The 24,034-nt window shown below is 49.8% G+C and overlaps 2 protein-coding genes across 50 annotated transcripts in view, besides 5 other annotated features; one reads left to right on the top strand and one right to left on the bottom strand.

Moving 5' to 3' along the window:
- PHLDB1 (pleckstrin homology like domain family B member 1) overlaps positions 1 to 1,346 on the top strand; it is a 51,593-nt gene extending 50,247 nt beyond the window's left edge. For all 48 annotated transcript variants that reach the window (XR_947813.3, NM_015157.4, XM_011542709.3 and 45 more), the window contains one exon: positions 1 to 1,346. Coding sequence is in view for 47 of the 48 variants with exons in the window: in NM_015157.4 (NP_055972.1) it covers positions 1 to 141 (141 nt within the window). In the remaining variant the exon portion in view is untranslated.
- Positions 634 to 22,968, bottom strand: TREH (trehalase). 2 transcript variants are annotated; one of them, NM_007180.3, is made up of 15 exons: positions 22,857 to 22,968; positions 6,657 to 6,757; positions 6,370 to 6,514; positions 6,199 to 6,286; positions 5,208 to 5,308; positions 4,955 to 5,047; positions 4,711 to 4,827; positions 4,478 to 4,600; positions 4,184 to 4,233; positions 3,857 to 4,051; positions 3,065 to 3,282; positions 2,688 to 2,799; positions 2,223 to 2,335; positions 1,998 to 2,051; positions 634 to 1,759 (listed from the first exon to the last, which is right to left on the bottom strand). In NM_007180.3, exons 1-15 carry the CDS (start codon positions 22,943 to 22,945, stop codon positions 1,607 to 1,609), a joined length of 1,752 nt encoding a protein of 583 aa, NP_009111.2. In that variant the 5' UTR covers positions 22,946 to 22,968; the 3' UTR covers positions 634 to 1,606. The 2 variants fall into 2 exon arrangements, with proteins under 2 accessions (NP_009111.2, NP_001287994.1); NM_001301065.2 differs by lacking the exon at positions 4,955 to 5,047.
- Positions 1,750 to 2,299: an enhancer, noted in NCBI's record as "H3K4me1 hESC enhancer chr11:118529141-118529690 (GRCh37/hg19 assembly coordinates)". NCBI's record gives its function as "activates a minimal SCP1, AML or CMV promoter by ChIP-STARR-seq in naive H9 embryonic stem cells {active_cell/tissue: H9 hESC(naive)}" and the evidence as "EXISTENCE:reporter gene assay evidence [ECO:0000049][PMID:30033119]".
- Positions 1,958 to 2,252: an enhancer, noted in NCBI's record as "tiled region #11464; K562 Activating non-DNase unmatched - State 8:EnhW". NCBI's record gives its function as "activates a minimal TATA promoter and a strong SV40 promoter by Sharpr-MPRA in K562 cells {active_cell/tissue: K562}" and the evidence as "EXISTENCE:reporter gene assay evidence [ECO:0000049][PMID:27701403]".
- Positions 2,300 to 2,849: an enhancer, noted in NCBI's record as "H3K4me1 hESC enhancer chr11:118529691-118530240 (GRCh37/hg19 assembly coordinates)". NCBI's record gives its function as "activates a minimal SCP1, AML or CMV promoter by ChIP-STARR-seq in naive H9 embryonic stem cells {active_cell/tissue: H9 hESC(naive)}" and the evidence as "EXISTENCE:reporter gene assay evidence [ECO:0000049][PMID:30033119]".
- Positions 22,198 to 22,859: an enhancer, noted in NCBI's record as "H3K4me1 hESC enhancer chr11:118549589-118550250 (GRCh37/hg19 assembly coordinates)". NCBI's record gives its function as "activates a minimal SCP1, AML or CMV promoter by ChIP-STARR-seq in naive H9 embryonic stem cells {active_cell/tissue: H9 hESC(naive)}" and the evidence as "EXISTENCE:reporter gene assay evidence [ECO:0000049][PMID:30033119]".
- Positions 22,860 to 23,519: an enhancer, noted in NCBI's record as "H3K4me1 hESC enhancer chr11:118550251-118550910 (GRCh37/hg19 assembly coordinates)". NCBI's record gives its function as "activates a minimal SCP1, AML or CMV promoter by ChIP-STARR-seq in naive H9 embryonic stem cells {active_cell/tissue: H9 hESC(naive)}" and the evidence as "EXISTENCE:reporter gene assay evidence [ECO:0000049][PMID:30033119]".

Here is a 24,034-nt window from a genome sequence, read left to right on the forward strand (position 1 = left end):
AGCCCGAACCCAGCCCTCACCTTCTGCGTAAAGACCCATGACCGGCTGTACTACATGGTGGCCCCATCTGCAGAGGCCATGCGTATCTGGATGGATGTCATTGTCACAGGGGCTGAGGGCTACACTCAGTTCATGAACTAACTGCCGTGGGCCTCCTGGCAGAGCACAACTGGGGCTTTTGTATAAGAAGACTTTAATATTCTGTAAGGAGCTTGGTCCTGTGAGTTTCTGGGCTCTGGCCTCCTGAAGAACCAGCCAGAAGAAGAAAAGTAGAGGTGGCTTTGCTGCCTCCTGGGAGCCCAGAACTTGCAGTAACCCTTTAGGGTCCTGCCCCAGGCCCAGCCAGGGCTGAGGAGCTGTCACAGAGAGGGCCTCAGCTCTGACCTGACACCTGCTCTCCCCAGCCTGTTTTCTCTTTTCTAAAAGACAAATTATGGTACCATAAGCTGCCAAAGATCCCCTCCTGCCTCAGACCCCTTTGCCAGGGGCTTTGGGGGCTGAGCAGAGCCACATCCAGAGTGGGGTAATAGCTCAGGCGGCCCGCTTCCCATTTCTCAAACCCCGCTCTGCCCCATTGTTCTCCTTTCCCTTATACTTTTTATTACCTTGCTCAAGGGCCAGAGATCTCAAGTGTCAACCTTGAGGTCCCAGCTCCATCCCCTAGTTGCAGACTCATCACCATGGTTACCATAGTGACTGCTTCATTGCCATGGTTACATACTAATTGCTGCAGCTCTGTGGCCCAGCCCACTGCTTCAGCTGTGGGCCATCTGAGGGTACGTGCCATCATCTCTCCAGCCCAGGCCCCTGGGCATCTCATGCTGGGGGGAAGGGACTGAATACCTTTTTCCTTCCCCCTGCCTGTGTCTTCAGCCCTGATGCACAGGCTGCCAGCCCCCCAGTCCAGCCCTCTCCCTTCCACTGGTGCCTTGCTTAGAGCCAGAAGGGATGAAGCCGGGGGATCTATGGAACAGAGGAGGAGCGATGCAGTTGGGAGAGGAAGCTAGAAGGGTTATGGTTGGAGTTCTGTACAGTGTTGAGTTTCCGACAGGGAAAGAGGATTCCTCCAATGCTCCTAGAGAGAAAGCCTGAGCAGGAGATGATGCAGCAGAGGGGAAGGGCCCTGTGGTGCCGCCGCCCTTCCTTCAGCCTCCGAAGGGTGATGGAAATGGAGAGTGGAGGACCAGGCCTCCAGCTGTCTGGCCTCGCCCTTCACGCCTTAACACTAAGCCCACCTCCCCTGCTCTCCTTCCCAGCATTGAGCCCTTGGTTGCCTGGGCCCAGGCTGGGGGTTTTCAGTATTTGTAAGCATTTCAGCAGAACAATAAAGCCTTTGGACTACGGAAGTGAGTGGAAGGCCGGTGTGGGGCTTGGCGCTGAGGCACTTGGGGATAGGTCTTCCCTCCAGAGCAGGATTTCCACCCTATTCAAGGTTCCAGGAGGGAGCTAGGCCCCTACCCATGACCTCCAGGTCGTGACCCTGCCCTCCACTTCGCTCTGAGGACAGGCTGGGAGGTAGGAGGGCATGAAGAGGCAGGGGAAGGCAGGAACTGGTGCAGAGGTTTAATGGGGCAGGAGCTGGGGCCAGGTGAGGAGAGGAGGGCTGTCACCATGGCAGGAGGCTGAGCAGGAGGCTGGGCAGAAGGGTGGCCGCCAGGCAGTGGGGCTCCAGGAAAGCCAGCTTGGCCCCTGAGGTCAGCCGGTCACCATAGCGGTCCAGCAGCATCAGGACCACGCCATTCGTCCAGCCAAATCCCTCCTGGGAGAGGCAGGGCAGTGGGGCCAGTTTCTGGGGAAGCCTCATACCCTTGGTGGGGGCTGTGGGCTCTCTCCCCAGGGGCACTGGCCCTGCCTAACCCCAGCGGTACAGGAAGCACCAGTCAGCTCCTCCCCCGGGCCCACATGCAGGTGAGCACACTGAGGCCTGGGGCGGGGGTCATGAGCAGCAGAGTTCAGGAGTTCCCTGGTGTTGGCCAGCCCACCCCTGGCCTGCTCACCTGAACTTCATATTCTCCTCCCCCACCGGGCTGTCCACCGTTGCTGACGTCATACTGGGGACAAGCGGGTGGGCTGTATGTCAGGTACTGCCCCCCAGCTCCAGGAACAACAAACAACCAGAGCCCCTGGGGAGAAGCTGCTCTGCCTGCCCAGCAGCCCCTGCAGTGCTCAGGAGTGGCCACTGGGACAGCCTGGGGGTGCAGGGAGGGCTTGGGCCAGCTCACCTTCTCATACATGGCTGACTTCTGCGAGTAGACATCAAAATTGGTTCGGATCCAATTCTGAGCCAGCTGGAAAGCCACTTCCTGGGCCCGACGTAAAGGTGCCTTGGCCAGGCCTAGACCCCATTGCAGGCAGGACTCAACCTCCAGGTCTCCCATCCCAGACAGAGCAGTGGCTGCACCCTACTCTCCCCAAGGAGGGAAAGAGGCCTGGGCCCTAAGACTTCCTTCCTGAGACCACAGGCCAAACTGCCCTTAATCGACGGCCCTGGTTTGAAGGGCGAACAGGACTGATTGCACTGGACAGGCTGGGTGGACATAAGTGTCAAGTGGAGGCCAGGAGAGCAGAGGAGCGAGAGAAAGGATACGGGGCCTCTTGTGTCTTTTGTTCATGCCTCCCCAGCACCAGGGAGGCCCACCTCTACACCCTGGGAAGGGTCCTTGGCTGTGTCAGCCCTGCCTCCCTACCTCTGATGACCAGGTCCTGCAGGGGGGCCCAGGCATTGGGGAAATCCCACTGCTGGCCTGTCTTCTGGAGAGAGGTCGGGATCCCATACTGGTAAGTCAGGATCCGGTTGTCCTAGAAGGTCCCAGACATTCCCATGACTGTGGGTGGGGCTGGACTGGGAGCCAGGACAGGACGCTGGACCCCGCGGGAAGCCAGACGTCCCCTTCCTGGCTCTTCTTTTCTCGGCTCACAGCTGCCCCCCGGTGGCTCTGGTGGGACCCGCAGGCTGGGACAAGGGGCATAGCCGGAGGAAGCGCCCTCCCCTGCAGGTCCTGTTCAGGGTCGGGAGGGGGCGGTGCTGCCTGCAGTGGACCCGAGCCACCTGCTGTGCCCTCACCTCCAGGTATTTCAGAGCCTTGTCCGCCACGCCAGGGTCAGAGAAACACCCGGCCCAGAGTGGAGTGAGGTTGGATGGGTAAAACTCCCGGTTTTTCTTCTTCTTCTCAAGGTCGTAATCGAACCAGGCTCCGGTCTGCTCATCCCACAGGACTGTGTTCAGGGCGGCCAAGCGCTGCGACCGCAGGATTCTGTACTTCGTGGCCTGGGAGTCGTTCCCTGGGGCAGTGCTGCCTTTAGAGCCAGCAGCCAGTGCCCTGCCTGCTGCCCCAGGCTTTTTTCGTGGTTCTACTTTAGCCTCCCCGCTTTGTGTTTCTCTGCAAAGGCTGAGACACCCTGATGACCAAGGGGATGTGCCGATCTGGAGCCCACCACATTTCTGGCCTATGGCCCCGCACTGCTCCCAGGGAACCACTGGAGCTGATCTGTCCCCAGGGTCTCCAGGGTCTATCCTCCCAAGGGTACTGGCTGGGTGGATTCCCCTAGCTCTTAGGGGGTCAAGGGCAGCTGTCTGAGGGAGAGGGAGTGGAAGGATTTTGGATGCGTGGACTAGGGTTCCCCTCACAGACCCTAGAGACCCTCACAGTAAGAAAGGGAGGAAGAGAGGATTAGGGTTGGCTCCGTTTGTTCTCTTGTCTGGTACGCAAATGTGAGTGCAGGCTTCCACTAGGGCGGGGCTCGACAGGCTAAGTTGCTGAAGGCCTGTCACACAAGGGTCCTACTTCCAGTTCTATTGCCAAGCCTGAGCAGGAAACCAAGCTCCCTGCTTTCCCTTCCCTACTGGGGTGCTCACCCAGCCTGGAATAGAAGTTGCTCATCAGCTCCTCTGCTTGGCATAGGAAGGCATTCAGGTCAACAGGCACCAGTTTGCTTGTTCGGATGCCGCTAAGCGAGTTGGGGTTTGGGCCTCCAATGAGCCAGCGTGAAGAGAAGTCCCAGCCAGACTCAGCCCCAGCCTTGAGCTCAGCCCACAGAGCCTCCCGGTCTCCTGTGAGGACAGAGCAGGGAACCAGCCAGTCCCGGCTGCAGGATAGGCAGCCATTGACAGGAGACCAGAGCCTGACACAGCAGGTGTGCAGCTGCCCTGCCCCCAGCCCTCCCTCACCCTCCTGCTGCTCACCTTCTGGCAAGGTGTCAGCCAACTCCACATCTTTGCTGTAGGACTCAGGCCTGGCAAAGAGGAGAGGTGGGCAGCCTGGCACTAGTAGCTACTAAGCCCCTCTGTGGTCAAGAAGAGGCTGAGCCATCTTGATCCAGCTGCCCTTGGGCCCCACAGCCCAGGATTGCAGAGGGCTCTCGGTGTCACCATCTGAGAGGCCAGGCTAAGTCACTCCTCCTCCTGCCCGGGGCATTGTGATGCTCTAACCAGAGTGAGCAGGTAAGAGATTGAGGGGTGGGCTGCCCAGTTCCTCACCTGGGTCCCCCATAAGGGACATAATAGCGATTCAGGAGGTAGTTCTTTCCCTCCAAGCTCACAGAGACAGTCCTGTTCTTGGTCCAAAAGTCCAATTCCAAGGCTAGTGTTTCAATGTTTTCCCTGGAGTGAAGCAGACAACACCTCAGCCCAGGCGTGCTGCCCATCCCCAGCCCTGAGAGGTCTGAGGGATGGGTGGGTCTGCAGAGCAGCACAGGGAGGGTGGTACCCACTGTAGAAAGGCGGTGTCATTGGTGTGAGTCAAGTAGCAATCCATCATGAGGGTCAAGAGTGGGGGCTGGCTCCGCTGCAGGTAGTACACGCGCCCACCATTGGGGACATGCCCATAGCTGCCAAGGGGAAGGCCTGCTGAGATGCCCTCTCCCCAGCAACTGGCACCAAGGCAATCCAGCTGCATGCCCGTGGCACACCTGCCTCTCCTCCCCACCTAGGCTGGAGGTGCCTGGCCCCCCTCACGTTTTCACCAGGTCCAAGAAGTTCTGCAGCATGCCCTTCACCGTCTCAGCCATCTCTGAGAGGAGCAGACCCTCCATGACCCAGTAGGAGTCCCTGGGGAAGGGGCAGCTTAGGCACCACCCTGCTGCCTCCCTCTGCCCTGCACACCAGCCAGTGGGGCACTCTGCCCTGCTGAAGACACCCTGCTGGCCCTGGGTTTCTCCACCACTGCCAGTCCTGCAGGCCCCTTGGTCTCTTGGGCCTGGGCGCTCACCAGTAGTAGAACTCAACAAAGCGACCGCCAGGCACAATGAAGGGATGTTCTGAGTAGATGAGAGAGAACCGCTCAGGGTGGCTGAGAACCTCTGGCTTCATCTGGAGTCGGGAGAGAGGGCAAGGGGAGCCTAGAATCCCCACGGAAGCAGAGGCTACAGGCAGCTGGGGGATCTGAGGCCCCGGGAGTCACAGCTTTGGAGCCAGGCAGTTGGGTTCAGCGCTGGCTCCACTGCTACTCAGCCATGTAATCAAGGCCTGGCCGCTGGGAGCCTTGGGGTCCTCATCCCTCACCTGCCGGCCTTGGGAGTCCCAGCTCAACTTGGTGCCGGGTAGAAGACCCGACCACTGAGCCAGGCACTGGGCAGGTATCCACCAAGCAGTGGCCATTACGAAGACCCAGGGTGGGCTGGGTGGGTGAGGGGGGTGCCAGCCCCCCATTTCCGCTCTACTCCCCATCCTTGCTGCCACCACCCAGCCGGGCCCAGAGGATTGGCCCATCACCCCCATTCTCTGAGCCAGGTGGGGATAAAACCCCAAACCCTTTCCCCAGGTGAGGGGATGTGGATGAGCAAAGTAGCTCAGGACAGGGCTGAACACAGGGCCTGGCCCCACGCAGCAGTAGCACTGATTCCTCCTGAGACGGAGGCCTGGCCCAGGAGCTCAGGGAAGGAGAGAGCCCAGCAGGCAGTGAACATCTACCCAGTGGTGCCAGAGGCAGTGCTGGGCAGCCTGGAGGTGGCAGGGCAGGCTAGGGTTTCCTGGGGAGGCTAGGGAGCCTTCCTGGAGGAGGCGAGATGTTAGAAGTAGATGCTGCCCTTCTGACCTCAGAAGTTCTTTCTAGAGGGCCTCTATTTGGGGACCCAGGGGCCAGGGACTGGTTTCTCAGGAAAGGAAACCTGATCTGTGCTCCGAAGACACTGTGGGCCCCAGGCACATTCCTCTCTTCAGTTCCCTTGGTCAGGCCTTGGGCAGGCCCAGGACGCTGATACCTTCTTCCCCAGCTTCTTCCAGAGCTGATGCAGCTGCCCTGCCCAGGCACGCAGTTTGGCATCTGAAATCTTCTGCAGGAACTGGGGGCTGAAAGAACACAGGCCCCACAGGGTTCAAGGAGGCAGCTCAGTTGGAAGGAACCCTCTCTTGTTCCCCTTCCAGAGTCATACCTGTCTTTCCAGTCTGCAGGGGTCCAGGGCTGCAGCTCCTGCCCCTTGGCCTGGAAGTGTTCGTGGACAAACGCCTGCAGCTGCTCCCTGGGGATGCTGTGATTGTGGTCCCTGGACAGCTCAGTGAAGGTCTGCAGGACTTGTTCTGGAGAGCAGGCAGCAGGGAGGGGTCAGCAGGGTGTCACAAGCCACTCCCTAATCACAGGGGCCTCTCTACTTGGTCTTGCCCCCTGCCTTCTTTGGAGAGAAGGTTCTCTGGAGAGGACGTTCAGCCCTAGGTGCTTCACCTGGAGCTATAGACAGTGGCATGTCCACAAACTGCTTGTCATCCTGGTAGAGCTTGGCCATTTGAACTTGGTTTAGGAGCTCCCCGTGGCAGTAAATCTCACTGCAGAGACAGGGATAGGAGCAGGTCAGGTCACCACCACCACCCCATTAGGACAGAAGAGAAGGCTAGAGTCTGTGGTAGACTGGTCAAGGCATGTTCCCTGGGACTGGACAAGGGCTGTGTGTGCGTGCGTGTGTGTGTGTGTGTTAGGAGTTTGTGGGTTGGAGTGACATACAGGGCTGAGGGAACAAGTAGGGTCTTTGGGCAGTAAAGTACCTGTCCGACTGCCTGAGCCCACACTGGTTGCTAATTTGAGATGGTGTAGAATAGCTGGTGGACAAAGGGAGGTTAGCACTTTAATCATACTGGTGTGGCCAATTCTCTGTACAATGGCCCTGTGTAGACTCGATCGGAAGGGCTTATGGCAGAAACCTGGGAGGTGCACTCAGTGGTGATGGCTGAGATTGGGCCAGAACATTTCCAGGCGGTGTATGGTATAGGCCATTTGAGAGACAATTACTAGCTGGCTCTTGGGTGTTTCCTGAAACTGCCTCCATGACGGCAGGACACAAAATAATCCTGAAACCTGAAATACCCATAATGTCTTGGGTGATGTCAGAGGAACACTTTGTAACGAAGGCAGTGCCCAGAAGAGTTCCTGAATAAAATGGAAATGGTTTATTCAGGAGTCTGCTGCTCAGGGAATGCAAGGAGGTGCTAATGGTATTCAGGAGCAGGAAGCCTCTTTCCCCCTAGGGCCAACTTTGGAAGCACCGAGGAGCTGATGGATCCTAGTGCCACATAGAAGGGGCCCTATGAACAGCTCTTGGTTGAACAACAAAAAGCTGCTTGGTTTATGGGTAGAAAGACCTTGTTTGGAAGGCCTTTGCACTCTGACTGAGGATGGAAAATCTTTGAAGAAGGTAAGAACAAATCACCTCAGTGGACTGAATTGCATGCTGTTTTCCTTGCAGTGATAGAAGAATCGAATGATAAAAGCCCCTGTGTTTGGGTTTTTGCTGACTTATGGGCAGTAGCCAATGGCCTGGCAGATGGGCAGTGAAAAACTGAACTATTAAAGTGTTGCCCACCTGGGGCATAACCCTATGGAAAGGTAAGGGGCACATTAAAGTAGCTTTGCATATCAGGTCGTAGATGCAAATGTGCAAAATACTACAAGATGCTATATTAGAACAGAAGATGCTGTACCAATATGGACCACCAAGTTACATTTCTTCAGATCCAAGAACACAACTGACAGCACCTAGTGTCCAACAATGGGCCAAGCAATACCACAGCAAATGGACATACGGTGTTGCATACCGTCCTCAGAGTAGCGCTTTGATAGAAAATTGGAAAAGAGAGTCGAAACATTTGCTGTCTACAGTGGGGGAGGGAGATAAAAGCATGAAGGGGTGGCTTACATACCTTCAAAAATGTGTGCTCTGGCCGGGCACAGTGGCTCATGCCTGTAATCCCAGCACTTTGGGAGGCTGAGGTGGGTGGATCACTTGAGGTCAGGAGTTCGAGACCAACCTGGGCAATATGGTGAAACCCCATCTCCACTAAAAATACAAAAATTAGACAGATGTGGTGGCACGTGCCTGTGATCCCAGCTACTTGGGAGGCTGAGGCAGGAGAATCACTTGAACCCAGGAGGTGGAGGTTGCAATGAACCGAGATCACGCCACTGCAATCCAGCTTGGGCAACAAAAGCAAGACTGTGTCTTTAAAAAAAAAAAAAGTGTGTGCTCACATTCAGCTTGAGAGGAGCAAAGGGAGGTCTCCATTGGTTGGATTCCCCTAATTTTTCTGGGGGATCTGGGAAGAGGGAGGGCGGAGTTGTTGGTATGACTATATGATTTGTTCCCACATCATCTCAACTACTTTTTTCCTACCCAATACAGTGGCCCCACGACTAGGACTGCAAATGTGGGTGTCAGAAGAAGGGACAATTCTCAAAGAAAAAACTGCAACTGGCTGGGTGCAGTGGCTCACGCCTGTGATCCCAGCACTTTGGGAGGCCGAGGAGGGCGGATCACAAGGTCAGGAGAACGAGACCTTCCTGGCTAACACGATGAAACCCCGTCTCTACTAAAAAGTACAAAAAATTAGCCAGGCATGGTGGCGGGTGCCTGTAGTCCCAGCTGCTCAGGAGGCTGAGGCAGGAGGATGGCGTGAACCCGGGAGGCAGAGCTTGCAGTGAGCCGAGATCACGCCACTGCACTCCAGCCTGGGCAACAGAGCGAGACTCCGTCTCAAAAAAAACAAAAAAAGAAAAAACTGCAACTGTACCTTTAAACCTTCATGCCAGATTTACTAAGGGCCTGATGGGGTGTGTTGTGGCTTCACAGCATCTGGCTAAATTTGGCTTCTTAGTGAATGCAGCTGTATTGCCTAGTGGTCAAGATAGCCCACTAGTTCCGCACCTTTGTAACTCTTCCTTATATGCATGGGAGCAGACTGAGGGCGAGGCACCTGCAACACTACTATTACTGCTGGCAATGTGGATCAGCACAGTGGCCAAGCCTAATGTCCCTTACAAAGGTGGAAAAATTTGGTAAAAATCAATGATAGGCCGGGCGCGGTGGCTCACGCCTGTAATCCCAGCACTTTGGAAGGCCAAGGCGGGTGGATCAGGAGGTCAGGAGATCAAGACCATCCTGGCCAACATGGCAACACCCCCGTCTCTACTAAAAATACAAAAATTAGCTGGGCATGATGGTGCCTGTAATTCTAGCTACTTGGGAGTCTGAGGCAGGAGAATTGCTTGAACCCAGGAAGTGGAGGTTGCAGTGGGCCGGTATTGCACCGCTGCACTGCAGCCTGGGCAATGGAGTAAAACTCCATCTCAAAAAAAAAAAATAAATAAATGACAGATGGTGAGGAAGAGACATAGTAGCTGAGGGTAAAGGAATGAGTAAATGGGTTATACAATGAGGGGAATCCAATATCACATTGGTGTCTGGAGAGACTCGAAACAAGAGAATAAGATTGTCTCTTAGCACGATTATACCAGATGCCTGAAAGGGGGAAGCCATGCATTTGCCAAGACGACTCCTGCTGTTGGGCCCTGACAAGGTCAAATGGCAGCCTGCAAACCTGAGTGGCACTGCTCTGAGATTTGGTCATGTGATATGATGATGAGCTGCACTAATTGCTGACAACAGGATGTAACTCTAGCAATGCGCCAGAGACTTTTGACTCTTAATTTTCAGGTTACATCTACTACGAAGGATACCATTTGGGAAGGAATTTCCAGGAACTACTCTTTTTGGGGCCTTTGGATTGTGTGATTTACAACTCATGGCAGACTAATCACTGTGTAACTGTAAACCTTGATCACTGAATGCTTAGAAAGGTCTCCAGTTAAAATGAGCGAAATACAGCAGCAGCATGGCCAGCCTGTCCCAATGAGCTCCATGCACAAATGCAGATCACCCTTGTTTTCGTGGATGAAAAGCTGTTAAACAGAATAGAAAAAAGTTTTATTTTATTTTTTATTATTTTTATTTTTTTTTAGACGGAGTTTTGCTCTTGTTGCCCAGGCTGGAGTACAATGGCATGATCTCAGCTCACCGCAACCTCTGTCTCCTGGGTTCAAGCAATTCTCCTGCCTCAGCCTCCCGAGTAGCTGGGATTACGGGCATGTGCCACCACGCCCGGCTAATTTTGTATTTTTAATAGAGATGGGGTTTCTCTGTGTTGGTCAGGCTGGTCTCAAACTCCCAACCTCAGGTGATCCGCCCGTCTCAGCCTCCCAAAGTGCTGGGATTACAGGTGTGGGCCACTGCACCCAGCCTATTTTTTCTTTTTTTAGACAAGGGTTCGCTCTATCACCCAGGCTGAAATGCAGTGATGCAATCACAGCTCACTGCAACCTCAATCTCCCAGGCCCAGGTAATCCTCCCACCTCAGCCTCCTGAGTAGCTGGGACTACAGGCATATGCCAGCATATCCAGCTAATTTTTTCTATTTTTTTTGTAGAGACAGGGTCTCAATATGTTGCCCAGGCTGGTCTTGAACTCCTGGGTTCAAGTGATCCTCCTGGCTTCAAGTGATCCTCCCGGCTTGGCCTCCCAAAGTGTTGAGATTACTGTGATGTGGGCCAGCATGCCCAGCCCAAATGGGTTTCTTATAGTATTAAAGCAGTAGACATCCCATGATTTGTCCAAATTCTCCTGGGGAACAGCCCCATACTGAGACAAGGAAGGCTATGGGAGGCCTTATGGCATACTCAAACTAATTACACCTAGGTGTGATGTCCACTCATCGAACCCTACTATGGGGAACTCACAAATTCTGGGTACAAAACATGTATGCTAACAGCACTCAGGCCTTTAATACAAAATGGCAACAGCATACATGGTGGAATAAACATTGGCCCATGAGATAGAAAAGGCTCTAAGGGAGATAAGTTCCCCCATCATGGAACAAGCTGAATTTATTAATCCTATTTTTATCACCTTAAAGTCTTTTATCCCTAACAAATTTTTTTTTTTTGAGACTGAGTCTCATTCTGTCGCCCAGGCTGGAGTGCAGTGGCTCCATCTCAGCTCACTGCAACCTCCACCTCCCTGGTTCAAGCAATTCTCATGCCTCAGCCTCCCAAGTTGCTGGGATTACAGGCGTGTACCACCACACCCAGCTAATTTTTGTATTTTAGTAGAGACAGGGTTTCGCCATGTTGGCCAGGCTGGTCTTGAACCTTCTGACCTCAGATGATCCAGCTGCCTCGACCTCCTAAAGTGTTGGGATTACAGGCGTGAGCCACCGCACCCAGCCTACAAATTTACTTTTAACAAGGAGAAGCATTTAGAGAAAAAGACATATTAGAGGAGGAGGGAATACTTCCAAACTCTTCCTACAAAGCCAGTATTACCCTGATACCAAAACCAGGATGAAGACACATCAAAAAAAAAAAATAAAACTATGGGCCAGTATCACCAATGAATATTGATGCAAAAATCCTCAACAAAACACTAGCAAACCTTGGCTAGGCATGGTGGCAAAACCCTGTCTCTACAAAAAAAATGAAAAAATTAGCTGGGCGTGGTGGCATGCACCATGTTGCTTGGGAGGCTGAGGTGGCAGGATCGCTTGAGCCCAGGCAGGCAGAGGTTGCAGAGCCGTGATTGTGCTGCCGTACTCCAGCCTGGGCAACAGGGTGAGACTCTGTCTCAAAAAAAAAAAAAAAAAAAAAAAAAAAAGATTTTCCATGTTCATTATTTATGGATTGGAAGAATCAATATTGTTAAAATGTTCAAATGTTCATATGGGCTGGGCGCAGTGGCTCATGCCTGTAATCCCAGCACTTTGGGAGGCCAAGGCAGGCGGATCACTTGAGGTTAGGAGTTCGAGACCAGCCTGACCAACATGGTGAAACCCCATCTCTACTAAAAATACAAAAATTAGCCAGGCGTGGTGGTGCATGCCTGTAGTCCCAGCTACTCGGGAGGCTGAGGCAGGAGAATTGCATGAACCTGGGAGGCAGAGGTTGCGCCACTGTGCTCCAGCCTGGGTGACAGAGCAAGACTCCATCTCGGAATGAATAAATAAGGAGCTCATAAAACTCTATTAAAAAAACTAACAATCCAATTAAATATGGGCAAAAGAACTGAATAGACATTACTCAAAAGCAGACATACATTCCCTTAAGTAAGAAAAGAAGTAAAAAAGAAGACATACAAATGGCAAACAAGCAAATGAAAAGGTGCTCAATATAATTGATCATCAGAGAAATGCAAATCAAAACTACAATGAGATAGCATTTCATCCCTATTAAAATGGCTTTTATCCAAAAGCCAGGTCATAACAAATGCTGGTGAGGATGTGAAGAAAAGGAAACCCTCATACACTGTTGGTGGGAATGTAAATTAGTACAACCACTATGGAGAACTGTTTGAAGTTTCCTCAAAAAACTAAAAATAGAGCTACCATATGATCCAGAAATTCCATTGCTAGATATATGACCAAAAGAAAAGAATCAATGTATTGAAGAGATATCTGCACTCCCATGTTTATTGCAGCACTATGGACAATAGCCAAGATTTGGAAGCAACCTAAGTGTCCATCGACTGATGAATGGATAAAGAAAATGTGGTACATATCCACAATGGAGTACTATTCAGCCATAAAAAGGAATGAGATCCTGCCATTTGCAAGAACATGGATGGAACTGGAGGTCATTATATTAAGTGAAATAAGCCAGACGCAGAAAGACAAACTTCATATGTTCTCACTTATTTGTGGGAGCTTAAAATTAAAACAATTGAACTCATGGAGATAGAGAGTAGAATGACGATTAGGAGAGGCTAGAAAGGGTAGTGGTATAGTGGCAGGAGTCGCAGGGAGGTGGGGATGGTTAATGGTACAAAAAAATGGAAATAATGCATAAGACCTAGTATTTGCTAGCACAACAGGTGACTGTAGTCAAAAATAATTTAATTGTACATTTAAAAATAACTAAAAGAGTATAATCAGATTGTTTGTAACACAAAGGATAAATGCTTGAGGTGGTGGACACCCCATGTACCCTGATGTCATTATTACCCATTGCATGCCTGTATCAAAATATCTCATGTAATTCATAAATATATATACCTACTATGTACCTCCAAAAATTAAAAAAAAAGAACAAAACAAAACAAAAGATTAAGTGAGGGGCTTCAAATGTCTTAAATATTAAATAAATGTAAGGTATTACTTTTTATTTAAAAAAAGAAATCAATTTCCAGTTCCACTCCCCTACCCAGAGATTGGGAGGTCAGGCTGATATCACTTGGCTCAAAGCCCCACCTCTCCAAACACACAGTTTGGTCTTTCTGGCATGTCCAGTCCTCGTCCTGAGTCAGCTAGTTAGTATAATCCATCTAGAGCCTCACCATGAATACCAAAGACACACCTATCATTTGGGAAATTCCAAGAGCTTAGAAGTTACTACCCAGCAACCTGGGTCAAAGAACAGACAAACTCTATTATACAACAGTCCAGTCCCTAGCCTTTACCCGTAGATCCCTTGTAGCAAAACAATTATGCTTTCCTGAGCAACTGCATTTGGGATAGCATTTTTATAACAGACAAAGAGATAATATCAACATGAATATGCCGAAAATTTAGAGGAGCTAATGTGGAAGTAGAGATAGGAGCTTTTAGCTCAATTCCCCAATACATGTGACCCTCAATATTAGAATTATAATCTTGCCAACAATGCCAGTGCTTTATTATGGTAGAAGTAACCTGAAAAATAAGAGTCAAAAGATGTTCACACATTACTAGAGTCCCATTGTCATTAATAATTAGTCCAGTTCATCACCAGATCATATGACAAAATGTCTCCCAGGATAAGGCCACTCAGGCTGGCAGGTTCCCCTTTGATCCTGTCAGCTTCCAGAGCAGGAGTGGTCTTGGCAAAATATGGCTTTACCCTTTCAGGCGTCAAGTATAATTGAATGAAGAGGCGGTATCATCTTTTTCTCTGATCTTCTTTCTAAGCATTAATGTAATAGTGGACTTCCCTCATTGCATTTCTTATTAATGCATGGATTCATTCATTTATTCCCAGCTACTACACCTCTTTCTCTCCATTTATACCCAAACTTTTCCACCTTTGGAAAGGACATTGGGTTAGGCCACTGTATTTATCCAGATTGTAGGTAGAAACACTTGTCTTGTAAATGCTTCTCCTTCAGTCCACTCCCATTCATATAGGGCAGGCTTACATAGGTACAGAACTAGTAAGCTATCTTGAGCAGTAGGCAATATATTTGTGTTTATTGTTAGCCCCATTTTTGCTAGATAAGGTGAAGGCACAACCTGCCCCATCAGACCCTTAGGAATTTTCACATAAAAGTTTAAGAATATAGTTATATTTTTTTGCTTAGGAATAATTCCTGCTTCTTGCATTTGTATCTGCAGTCCTAATTCAGAATTCTAGCAGATAAATGTAACAAAGAGATTAAAATAATTGAAAAGAATCAAGCTGAAACCCTAGAGCTGAAAAATGCAATTGGCATACTGAAGAATGCATCGGAGTCCTTTAACAGCCGAATTGATCAAGCAGAAGAAAGAATTAGTGAGCTTGAAGACAGGCTATTTGAAAATACACAATCAGGAGACAAGAGAAAATAAAAAACAAAGAAGCATGCCTACAGGATCTAGAAAATACAATCAAAATGCCTCAAAATGGCAAATCTAAGACTTATTGTACTTAAAGAGGAGGTAGAGAAAGAGATAGGGACAGAAAGTTTATTCAAAGGGATAATAACAGAGAACTTCCCAAACCTAGAGAAAGACATCAATATCCAAGAACAAGAAGGTTATAGAACACCAAGCAGATTTAACCCAAAGACTACCTCAAGGCATTTAATAATCAAACTAAAAGTCAAGGACAAAGAAAGGATCCTAAAAGCAGCAAGAGAAATGAAACAAATAATATACAATGGAGCTCAGTGGTTCAAACTGGTGAGAAGTCTGGCAGCAGACTTCTCAGTGGAAATCTTACAATCCAGAAGAGAATGGCTTAACATATTTAAAGTGCTGAAGGAAAAAAAAACTTTTACCCTTGAATAGTATATCTGGTGAAAATATCCTTCAACCATGAAGGAGAAATAAAGACTTTCCCAGACAAACAAAAGCTGAGGGATTTCATCAATACCAGACCAGTCCTACAAGAAATACTGAAGAGTATACTTCGATCAGAAAGAATAGGATGTTAACATGCAATAAGAAACCACCTGGGCCGGGCATGGTGGCTCACGCCTGTAATCCCAGCACTTTGGGAGGCCGAGGCGGGATGATCACTTGAGGAGTTCGAGACCAACCTGACCAACATGGTGAAATCCTGTCTCTACCAAAAAATACAAAAAAATTAGCCGGGTGTGGTGGCACGCACTTGTAGTCCCAGGTACTGAGGAGGCTGAGGTGGGGGAATCGCTTGAACCGGGGAGGTGGAGGTTGCAGTGAGCTGAGATCTCGCCCCTGCACTCCAGCCTGGGCAACAGAGTGAGACACTGTCTCAGAAAAAAAAAGAAAAAAAAAGTTAATGATCGCTGGGCTCAGTGGCTCATGCCTATAATCCCAGCACTTTGGGAGGCTGAGGCAGGCAGATTACTTGAGGTCCTGAGTTCAAGACCAGCCTGGCCAACATGGAGAAACCCCATCTCTACTAAAAATACGAAAAATTAGCTGGGCGTGGTGGTGCATGCCTGTAATCACAGCTACTCTGGAGGCTGAGGCATGAGAATTGCTTGAACCCAGGAAATGGAGGTTGTAGTAAGCTGAGATCGCACGCCACTGCACTCCAGCCTGGGTTGACAGAGCGAGACTCCATCTCAAAAAAAAAAAAAAAAAAAAAAAGAAATCACCTGAAGGTACAAAACTCACTGGTAATAGTAAGCACACAGAAAAAACACAGAATATAATAACACTAGAACTGTGGTGTGTAAACTACTCTTATCCTATGTATCTGCAGTCCTGGGACCACTGGGATTTACTGGAACCACTGAATCAGCTGGGAAAAAGAAAGTTTAATGTAGGGAAAAAAGAAAATGGTATAGTCATACCACATTGGAAGAATTGTTAGTCATTGTCTCCCAGCCCCTCTTCCCTTTAACTTCCAGAAAAGCAGAAGAATCTATCTAATAGGGACAAACCCTTGAGCCCCCTTGCGTTGAGTGTGAGCACATACTTGTGAAGGCATGTAAGCCAGCCTTTCATACCTTCATACCCTTATTCCCTGCTGTTTTAGATAGCACATGCTTCAACTGCCCATCCCAGTTCTCTATTGAACCACTCCTCTGAAGATGAAAGTGTTTCTTGATCTGAAGAAATGTAACTCAGTGGTTCAAATTGGTGGAGTATCTTTTGTTCTGACCCTTTTACAGTGTCAGTATTTTGAGCATTTGCATCTACCACTGGCCATGCAAAGCCCAGTCCAGAATCAGTGTCTACTCTTGTCAGGACCCAGGTAGCCCTCCAGGCCTACCAGCATCAGTCCACCTTGCCAGGTATGTGCAGGGCCTTCCCTCCAAGGTCATCTTCCCACAGCCATGTGCGGTCTTTCTCTTTTTGGCAGACAGAAAAGTACTTACTGGCATTTTGTGCCTCAGCGGGAAAACAGGACTAAGTCTAAATTCAGCTCTTCTCTGCATGGCTGCTGCCCTGCAATGTCCATTTATTTCATGAACACACGTGGCCACCTCAGGTGAGCACGCAGGGATGTCTGCTTGTTGCCCCAGTTCCTTTTGATCCTGGAAAGGGGTCCTTCTGATGGACATCAACATAACCTGCTTTAATGCACTCCTAAAATTCCTGTTGTGATTTCCATATAGACAAGGTTCCCATTGTCCTTCCGCCTGACCATATGGCCAGGCCATTGGCCACTGTCCAAGAGTTAGTAAAAACCTAAACAGTATGCAATTCAACCCACAGAGCTGATTTGTTTTTGCCTTCTTTGATCAGAGTAACAACCTTCCAAACAATAGGCTGTTCATTCACCTTGGGACTGCCATCCATAAGCCAAACAGCTTTGTTGGTCAATCGAGAGCTGTCAATAGGGCACTGTCCAATTGGCAATAGAATCTAACAACTCTTTGAGTGGGTCCAAAGTCAGTCCTAGGGGAAAAGAGTCTCTCTGCTTTTGAATACACTGAGTAACTGCATTCCCCCAGGAGCTTGTTCCTGATCCAGCCATTTCCATTTCATTATGGAACTCTTCTGGGCCCTGCCCACTCTCTGTGAGCATTTCCCCAAGATATTATAGGTATTTCAGGTTTCAAGATTATCTTACATCCTTCAGTCATAGGGGCAATTTCAAATAATGTCTGATAGCAAGCTAATAATTACCTCTCACATGGAAATTATCTAGTCCAAAGTCTCAGCACTCGTGCCAGGAGGTGCTCTAAGACTTTTGCTATAAAGTCCAGTCTATGCTCCAGAGAAGGCTAACAATCTCTGTGGACTTGGGCAATCTTATTGGTTCCCATTTGGAATGTCTAATCAATATTGCTTGATGAGTGGATTTCCATACCTTCTGTTTTACAATACTAGGTAGTGGAAATATTTCCTGGTCAGATACAATATCCATCCCTGTAATACATTCAGGTAGAAGAGATGCAACCACTCCACATAAAACCTGTTCAAGCGCATACCACTTTTTTGTTTTGTTTTGTTTTGTTTTTGAGATGGAGTTTCGCTCTTGTTGCCCAAGCTGGAGTGCAATGGCGAGATCTCAGCTCACTGCAACCTCCACCTCCTGGGTTCAAGTGATTCTCCTGCCTCAGCCTCCTGAGTAGATGGGATTACAGGTGCGCACCACCACACCCGGCTAATTTTGTATTTTTAGTAGAGACAGGGTTTCTCCATGTTGGTCAGGCTGGTCTTGAACTCCTGATCTCAGATGATCCACCCACCTCTGCCTCCCAAAGTGCTGGGATTACAGGCGTGAGCCACTGCACCTGGCTGCATTTTTATATTCTCTCAATCTCATTGCAGTGCCCATCAGGACTTCAGCAGGTGTTTTTGGTACCACAGTGCAGGACTGGAGGTTGTAATTCCACTGACCAGAATCTAAGCATGGCCCATCTTTTACTTTCAGTTTGGCTATTAGAGATAAAAGTCTATAGGGATTGTATATTTGCTTTTCTTCTTCTTAGTATACATTTCCCTATGCACATGAGTCAACTCCCCAAAAGTTAGTGATCAATCACCTCTAATTTCCATTGGTAACTTTTACCTCCAGTAACTGATTGCAGCATGACTGCTCTTCACACCATGGGTGACCCTGTATCCACTCGAGAATGAAAGGTTTCTCATCCCCTGCCCTTTCAACTTTTCTTTTCCCAACCCATATGTTTCAGTGAGTCAGGGTCATTCTAGTAAATCCACATTTTCTGACACCAACTGCAATACTGCAATTTAATCCTGGCACTAACCATCGGGAGTTAGTGCAGAATCCACACTCAGGTTAAGGGCACGGTCCTGAGTGAGACGGCCTCACTTCTGACACCAGCCACAAGTTCAGGGGTCCCCAGGCCACCTGCACTTATTACCAAGTGGCTACAAATGTAGGGGTTCCCATAACCCTTTCAGATTTGATAATTTGCTAGAACAACTCACAGGACTCAGAAAAGCTTACGGTTATGCTTAGGGCTATAGTTTTATTATAAGAATACAAGCCAGGATCAGCCAAATGAAGGGGTGCATGGGGCAAGGTCTAGGGGGGCCCTGAATGTAGAGCTTCTGTGTCCTTTCCCCATGGAACCAGGACGTTTCCCCTCCTGGCTCATCAATGTGTTCACCAACCAGGACTTGGTATTTATTTGTTTTATTTGTTTGTTTGTTGAGACAGGGTCTCACTCTGTCACCTAGGCTGGAGTGCAGTGGTGCAATCTCAACTCACTGCAACCTCCACCTCCCAGGTCAATGATTCTCACGTCTTAGCCTCCTCAATAGCTGGGATTACAGGCATGCACCACCACACCCTGCTAATTTTTGGCATTTTTGGTAGAGACAGGGTTTCACCATGTTGGCCAGGCTGCTCTCAAATGCCTGGCCTCAAGTGATCCATCCACCTCGGCCTCCCAAAGTGTTGGGATTACAGGCATGAGCCACTGTGCCCAGCCTACTTACCAGGACTTTGAAGTCCAGAGTTTTTATTGGGGTTTCATGACATACGCATGATTGATTGAATCATTGATCATGTAATTGAACTCCATCTCCAGCCCCTTCTCCTCCCTGAAGGTTGAGAAGTTGGGCTGATATCATGTGGACCAAAACCCCAACCCTCTACACACATGCTTGGCCTTTCTGGCACGGCCTGCCTTCATGTGGAGTCGTCTTGTTAGCAGAAGCTGTCTAGGGACCCACCATAAGTCACCTCATTAACAAAAGCTACCAAGAGCCTGGGAAACATGGCAAAACCCCATCTCTACAAAAAATACAAAAATTAGCCAGGCATGGTGGCACACACCTAGTCCTAGCTATTCAGGAGGCCAAGGTGGGAGGATCACCTAAGCCCAGAGAGATTGAGGCTGCAGTGAGCCATGACTGCACCACTGCACTCCAGCCTGGGTGACAGAGTGAGACCCTGTCTCAAAAAGCAATCAGGCCAGGTGCAGTGACTCATGCCTGTAATCCCAGCACTTTGGGAGGCCAAGGTGGGTGGATTGCTTGAGGTCAGGAGTTTAAGACCAGCTGGCCAACATGGTGAAACCCCGTCTCTACTAAAAATACAAAAATTAGCCAGGCGTGGTGGTGCGTGCCTATAGTCCCAGCTACTTGGGAGGCTGAGGCAGGAGAATCACTTGAACCCTGGGGGCAGAGGTTGCATTGAGCCAAAATGCTCACCACTGCACTGCCAGCCTGGGCAACAGAGCTAGATTGCTGTCTCAAAAAAAAAAAGAAAGAAAAAAACAACAACAAAAAAACACTAATCAGGGACCACTATTAATAACAGACATTCCTATCACTTGGGAGATTCCAAGGAGCTTAGAGGTTACTTTGGAGGAACCCAAGACAAAAATGAAACTAATTCCTCATTATACAAGAAGTGGCTTATACATGAAAGGATTGACTCAGCAGGTCTGCTGTGTTCAAACCCTGCACATTTCAGAGAAAATTCTGGCCTGTGACCAGCCCTGAGAGATGAGATTTAAATTACCAAAATATGCTGCCTGATAAGTCTTTGTTTTTCTGGGGCCTTGGGCCATGCCAGATATTTGATGCTAATAATGTGATTTGTGGCAGGGGCCTTTGGCCGCCCAGTATCAGTTTGAACTCTGGAGAGTGAGTAACTGAGGTCAGCCACACAGGTAGTCCACGCTTTCATCACTGACCTCCAATAAAAACACTGGACACCAAGACTCAGGTGAGCTTTTGTGATTGGCAATACTTCATGCGTGCTGTCACATGTTATTGCTGGAAAAATCAAGTCCTGTCCATATAAATCCACTGGGAGAGGAAAAACTGGAAGATTGAGATTATTTTCTCCTGGACTTGGCCCTAGAATATTTCACCTTTGATGGCTTTAACATGTATCTTTTCACTGTAAGAAACCATAATCAAGGCTGGGCACGGTGGTTCATGCCTGTAATCCCAGCACTTTGGGAGGCTGAGGCAGGCGGATCACAAGGACAAGAGATTGAGACCATTCTTGCCAACATGGCAACACCTCTGTCTCTACTAAAAATACAAAAATTAGCTGGGCGTGGTGGCAGGTGCCTGTAGTCCCAGCTACTGGGGAGGCTGAGGCAGGAGAATCGCTTGAACCCAGAAGGTGGAGGTTGCAGCGAGCCGAGATTGCACCACTGCACTCCAACCTGGCGACAGAGCGAGACTCTGTCTCAAAAAAAGAAAAAAAATGAAACCATAATCATGGTATAACCATTTGGAAGTGTTAGTGAATCACTGGCCTGAGGTTGGTCTTAGGGAACACCAGTAAAGTCATCTTCCCCTACATTTGGCAAACAGCCTAATGCTTGACAAAGCACTGGACCACCCAGCCTCTCTGAAGTCCTCATTACAATTGCTCAGGACAAAACCTATTAATTATCCCAGGTACACTTTTCCCCTTTATATTCCACAATTGTCATGGGCAAGCACTGTCAACTCTCCCTGTAACACACACCCTCTATTGAACCCCTTGTCTCTGTCTCTAGTCTAACCACTGGAACCCAAGCCCAAACCTTGTTGCCTGGAGCCCCGCTCTCCCCGGACCTGTTCCCACTCTGCCCCAATCACACAGGCCTTCGTCCCAATCCCTGAACAGTGCGTCAGGGCCTCTGCATGGCCCTTTCCATGCCTGGACTGTCCTCTCCCAGATCAGCTCAGCAATGGTTCCTGCCACAATTCTGCTTACACATCACCTCCTCAGAGACACCGTCCCTCCCCATCCTCTCTAACACACCCTCTGCTCACCCACACCAGCGGGCCCTAACTTCTCTCTACTTCAAACTGTGCTTCTGTTACTGTTTTGCTTCTATTATTATTATTATTATTATTTGAGATAGAGTTTTGCTCTTGTTGCCCCGACTGGAGTGCAATGGCATGATCTTGGCTCACTGCAACCTCCACATCCCAAGTTCAAGCGACTCTCCTGCCTCAGCCTCCCGAGTAGCTGGGATTACAGGCGTGCGCCACCATGCCCGGCTAATTTTGTATTTTTCATAGAGATGGGGTTTCACCATGTTGGCCAGGCTGGTCTCGAACTCCTGACCTCAGATGATAGCTCCCACCTTGGCCTCCCAAAGTGCTGGGATTACAGGCATGAGCCACCGTGCCCAGCTGTTTTTCTTCTATTATTATTGTTCTTGCAGGAGCTGGTAAAGTGGCTGATGTGGCCACAGCTCCATAAATCCATGTGGAACGAAGGGTGGACATCGCCTGAGTCCAGGAGACAGGACAGGGTCACTCATCTCTGTCCCTGGTGATGGAAACTCAGGCTCAGGAAAGAGCCTTGACCTGCCCTGGGTCACAGAGAGAATATGAGGGTCAGGGCTCAAGCCCAAGTGCTGTCTTCAGGCCCTTAGGCTGCCTCTCACACCCAGACTAGGAAGCTGGAGCAGAAAGTTTGCTAGAACAATCCTGAGAAGAGGCCTGCACAGTTCAAGGGGCAGCTTGGAGGAGGAGAGGAAGGGAGGGCGGGCTCTGGCCAGCAGGCTCTTGGACCTCAGGCCAGGCTCTGGCAGCTGCGTCTGGTATCAGGACTGCAGGTCCCGACAGGGGGCGGTGGCTCACGCTTGTATTCCCAGCACAGTCGCCAAGCCTAATGTCCCTTCCAACGGTGGAAAATTTTGGTAAAAATCAATGACAGGCTGGGCGTGGTGGTGCATGCCTGTGATTCCAGCTACTCAGGAGGCTGAGGCACGAGAATCTCTCGAACCCGGGAGGTCTAGGCTGCAGTGAGTGGAGATGGTGCCACTGTACTCCATCTGGACGACCGAGCAAGACTCTAACAACAACAACAAAAAAAACGGACTGCAGGTGCAGTGCCCAGCACAGAGCCTGCTACATAGGAATTCTCATTTTCTTCTCTTCCCTACTCTTTCCTTCCTTTATAATCTCTTCCTTTCCCTCTGAAGTACCGACCCCAGAGCTTGAGATCTCATCCCAGCCTCCCTCTTATTGCCATCCTCCCCTGCTGCCTTCCCCACACCCCTACCTCTCACAGGGTGGGGGTAGGGCCTCCTGGGACCCCAGTCCCAGCCCCAGCAGCAGTAGCAGGCACAGCTCCCAGGTCCTCCCTGGCATGGTGGCTGTGACTGTGACTGAATGAGCAAGCCCAGGCACCTTCGGCTTGCTGGGCACAGCCTGGCTCACCTGCCTGTCCAAGTCGGCCAAAGTCCAGCCTTTGAGGCGTGGCCACCTGAGGGGACGTGTGCTTGGTCTGTGTGTGGCCCGCTTGCCCCTCCTGCTCTCAGGGCACAGTGGCCACCTCCCTTGCTTCTACTTTGCCTCTTCTATTTCACAGTCTCAGCTGGTGCCAATGGCTCAGGCCCTTCCCTCAGAGCATGGTGGTGGGGGTGGGGAGTGGGCACCCAAAGGCCAGGGACACAGTCGAGGCCACACACCTGTAACCTGGATGCCAGGTTCCTTGGGTGGCCCCAAGACCACCAACCTCAGAGAGTTACCATTTCCCTTAACATTTCAAATGGAATGGCTCAAGATCCTGTCCCTGGTGTGGTGTGAAATTCAGGGCCTCTCACTGTTATCTGCAAGAGATACAGCGGAAGCACAGGACAGTAGAACCATTCTGTCTGGGGAGGACTAAGGGAGACCCACAATAGTGTGTCATTTGTAATGAGTCTTTTTTTTTTTTTTTTTGAGACTGAGTCTCACTCTGTCGCTAGGCTGGAGTGCAGTGGCGTGATCTCAGCTCACTGCCACCTCCGCCTCCCGGGTTCAAGCAATTCTCCTGCCTCAGCATCCTGAATAGCTGGGACTACAGGTGCCCGCCACCACGCCCAGCTAATTTTTGTATTTTTAGTAGAGACGGGGTTTCACTGTGTTGGCCAGGATGGTCTCAATCTCTTGACCTCATGATCTGCTCGCCTTGGCCTCCCAAAGTGCTGGGATTACAGGCGTGAGCCACTGCGCCAGTCCTAATGAGTCTTGATGACCGCATAGGAGTTTGCCAAGGGAAATGGGCTGGAGACCACTACAATGTATGCAGAGCATGTGAAGAGAAGAGCAAACCCCTCAGCCTAGCTGCAGAGAACTTGGTGTTCATGCAGGGAAGGGTTTTGAGATAGACTGGAGGAACATGTTGGCACCAGTCTGGAAATGGTCTTTGCCAAGCCAAGGAATGTAATTCCTTGTAATTCCCCAAAGTGGAACCAG

Source organism: Homo sapiens, chromosome 11, assembly GCF_000001405.40.
Source record: "Homo sapiens chromosome 11, GRCh38.p14 Primary Assembly".
NCBI classification, from domain to species: domain Eukaryota; kingdom Metazoa; phylum Chordata; class Mammalia; order Primates; family Hominidae; genus Homo; species Homo sapiens.

What these genes read in the sequence shown, in the direction of transcription:
- TREH (NM_007180.3), bottom strand. Translation starts at nt 22,945, where the DNA reads ATGCCAGGGAGGACCTGGGAGCTGTGCCTGCTACTGCTGCTGGGGCTG. An exon ending in AGGCTCTGAAATACCTGGAG is followed by an intron (nt 2,800 to 3,064) that starts GTGAGGGCACAG and finishes GGGACCTTCTAG; the next exon opens with GACAACCGGATCCTGACTTA. An exon ending in AGTCAGCCATGTATGAGAAG is followed by an intron (nt 2,052 to 2,222) that starts GTGAGCTGGCCC and finishes GCTTGTCCCCAG; the next exon opens with TATGACGTCAGCAACGGTGG.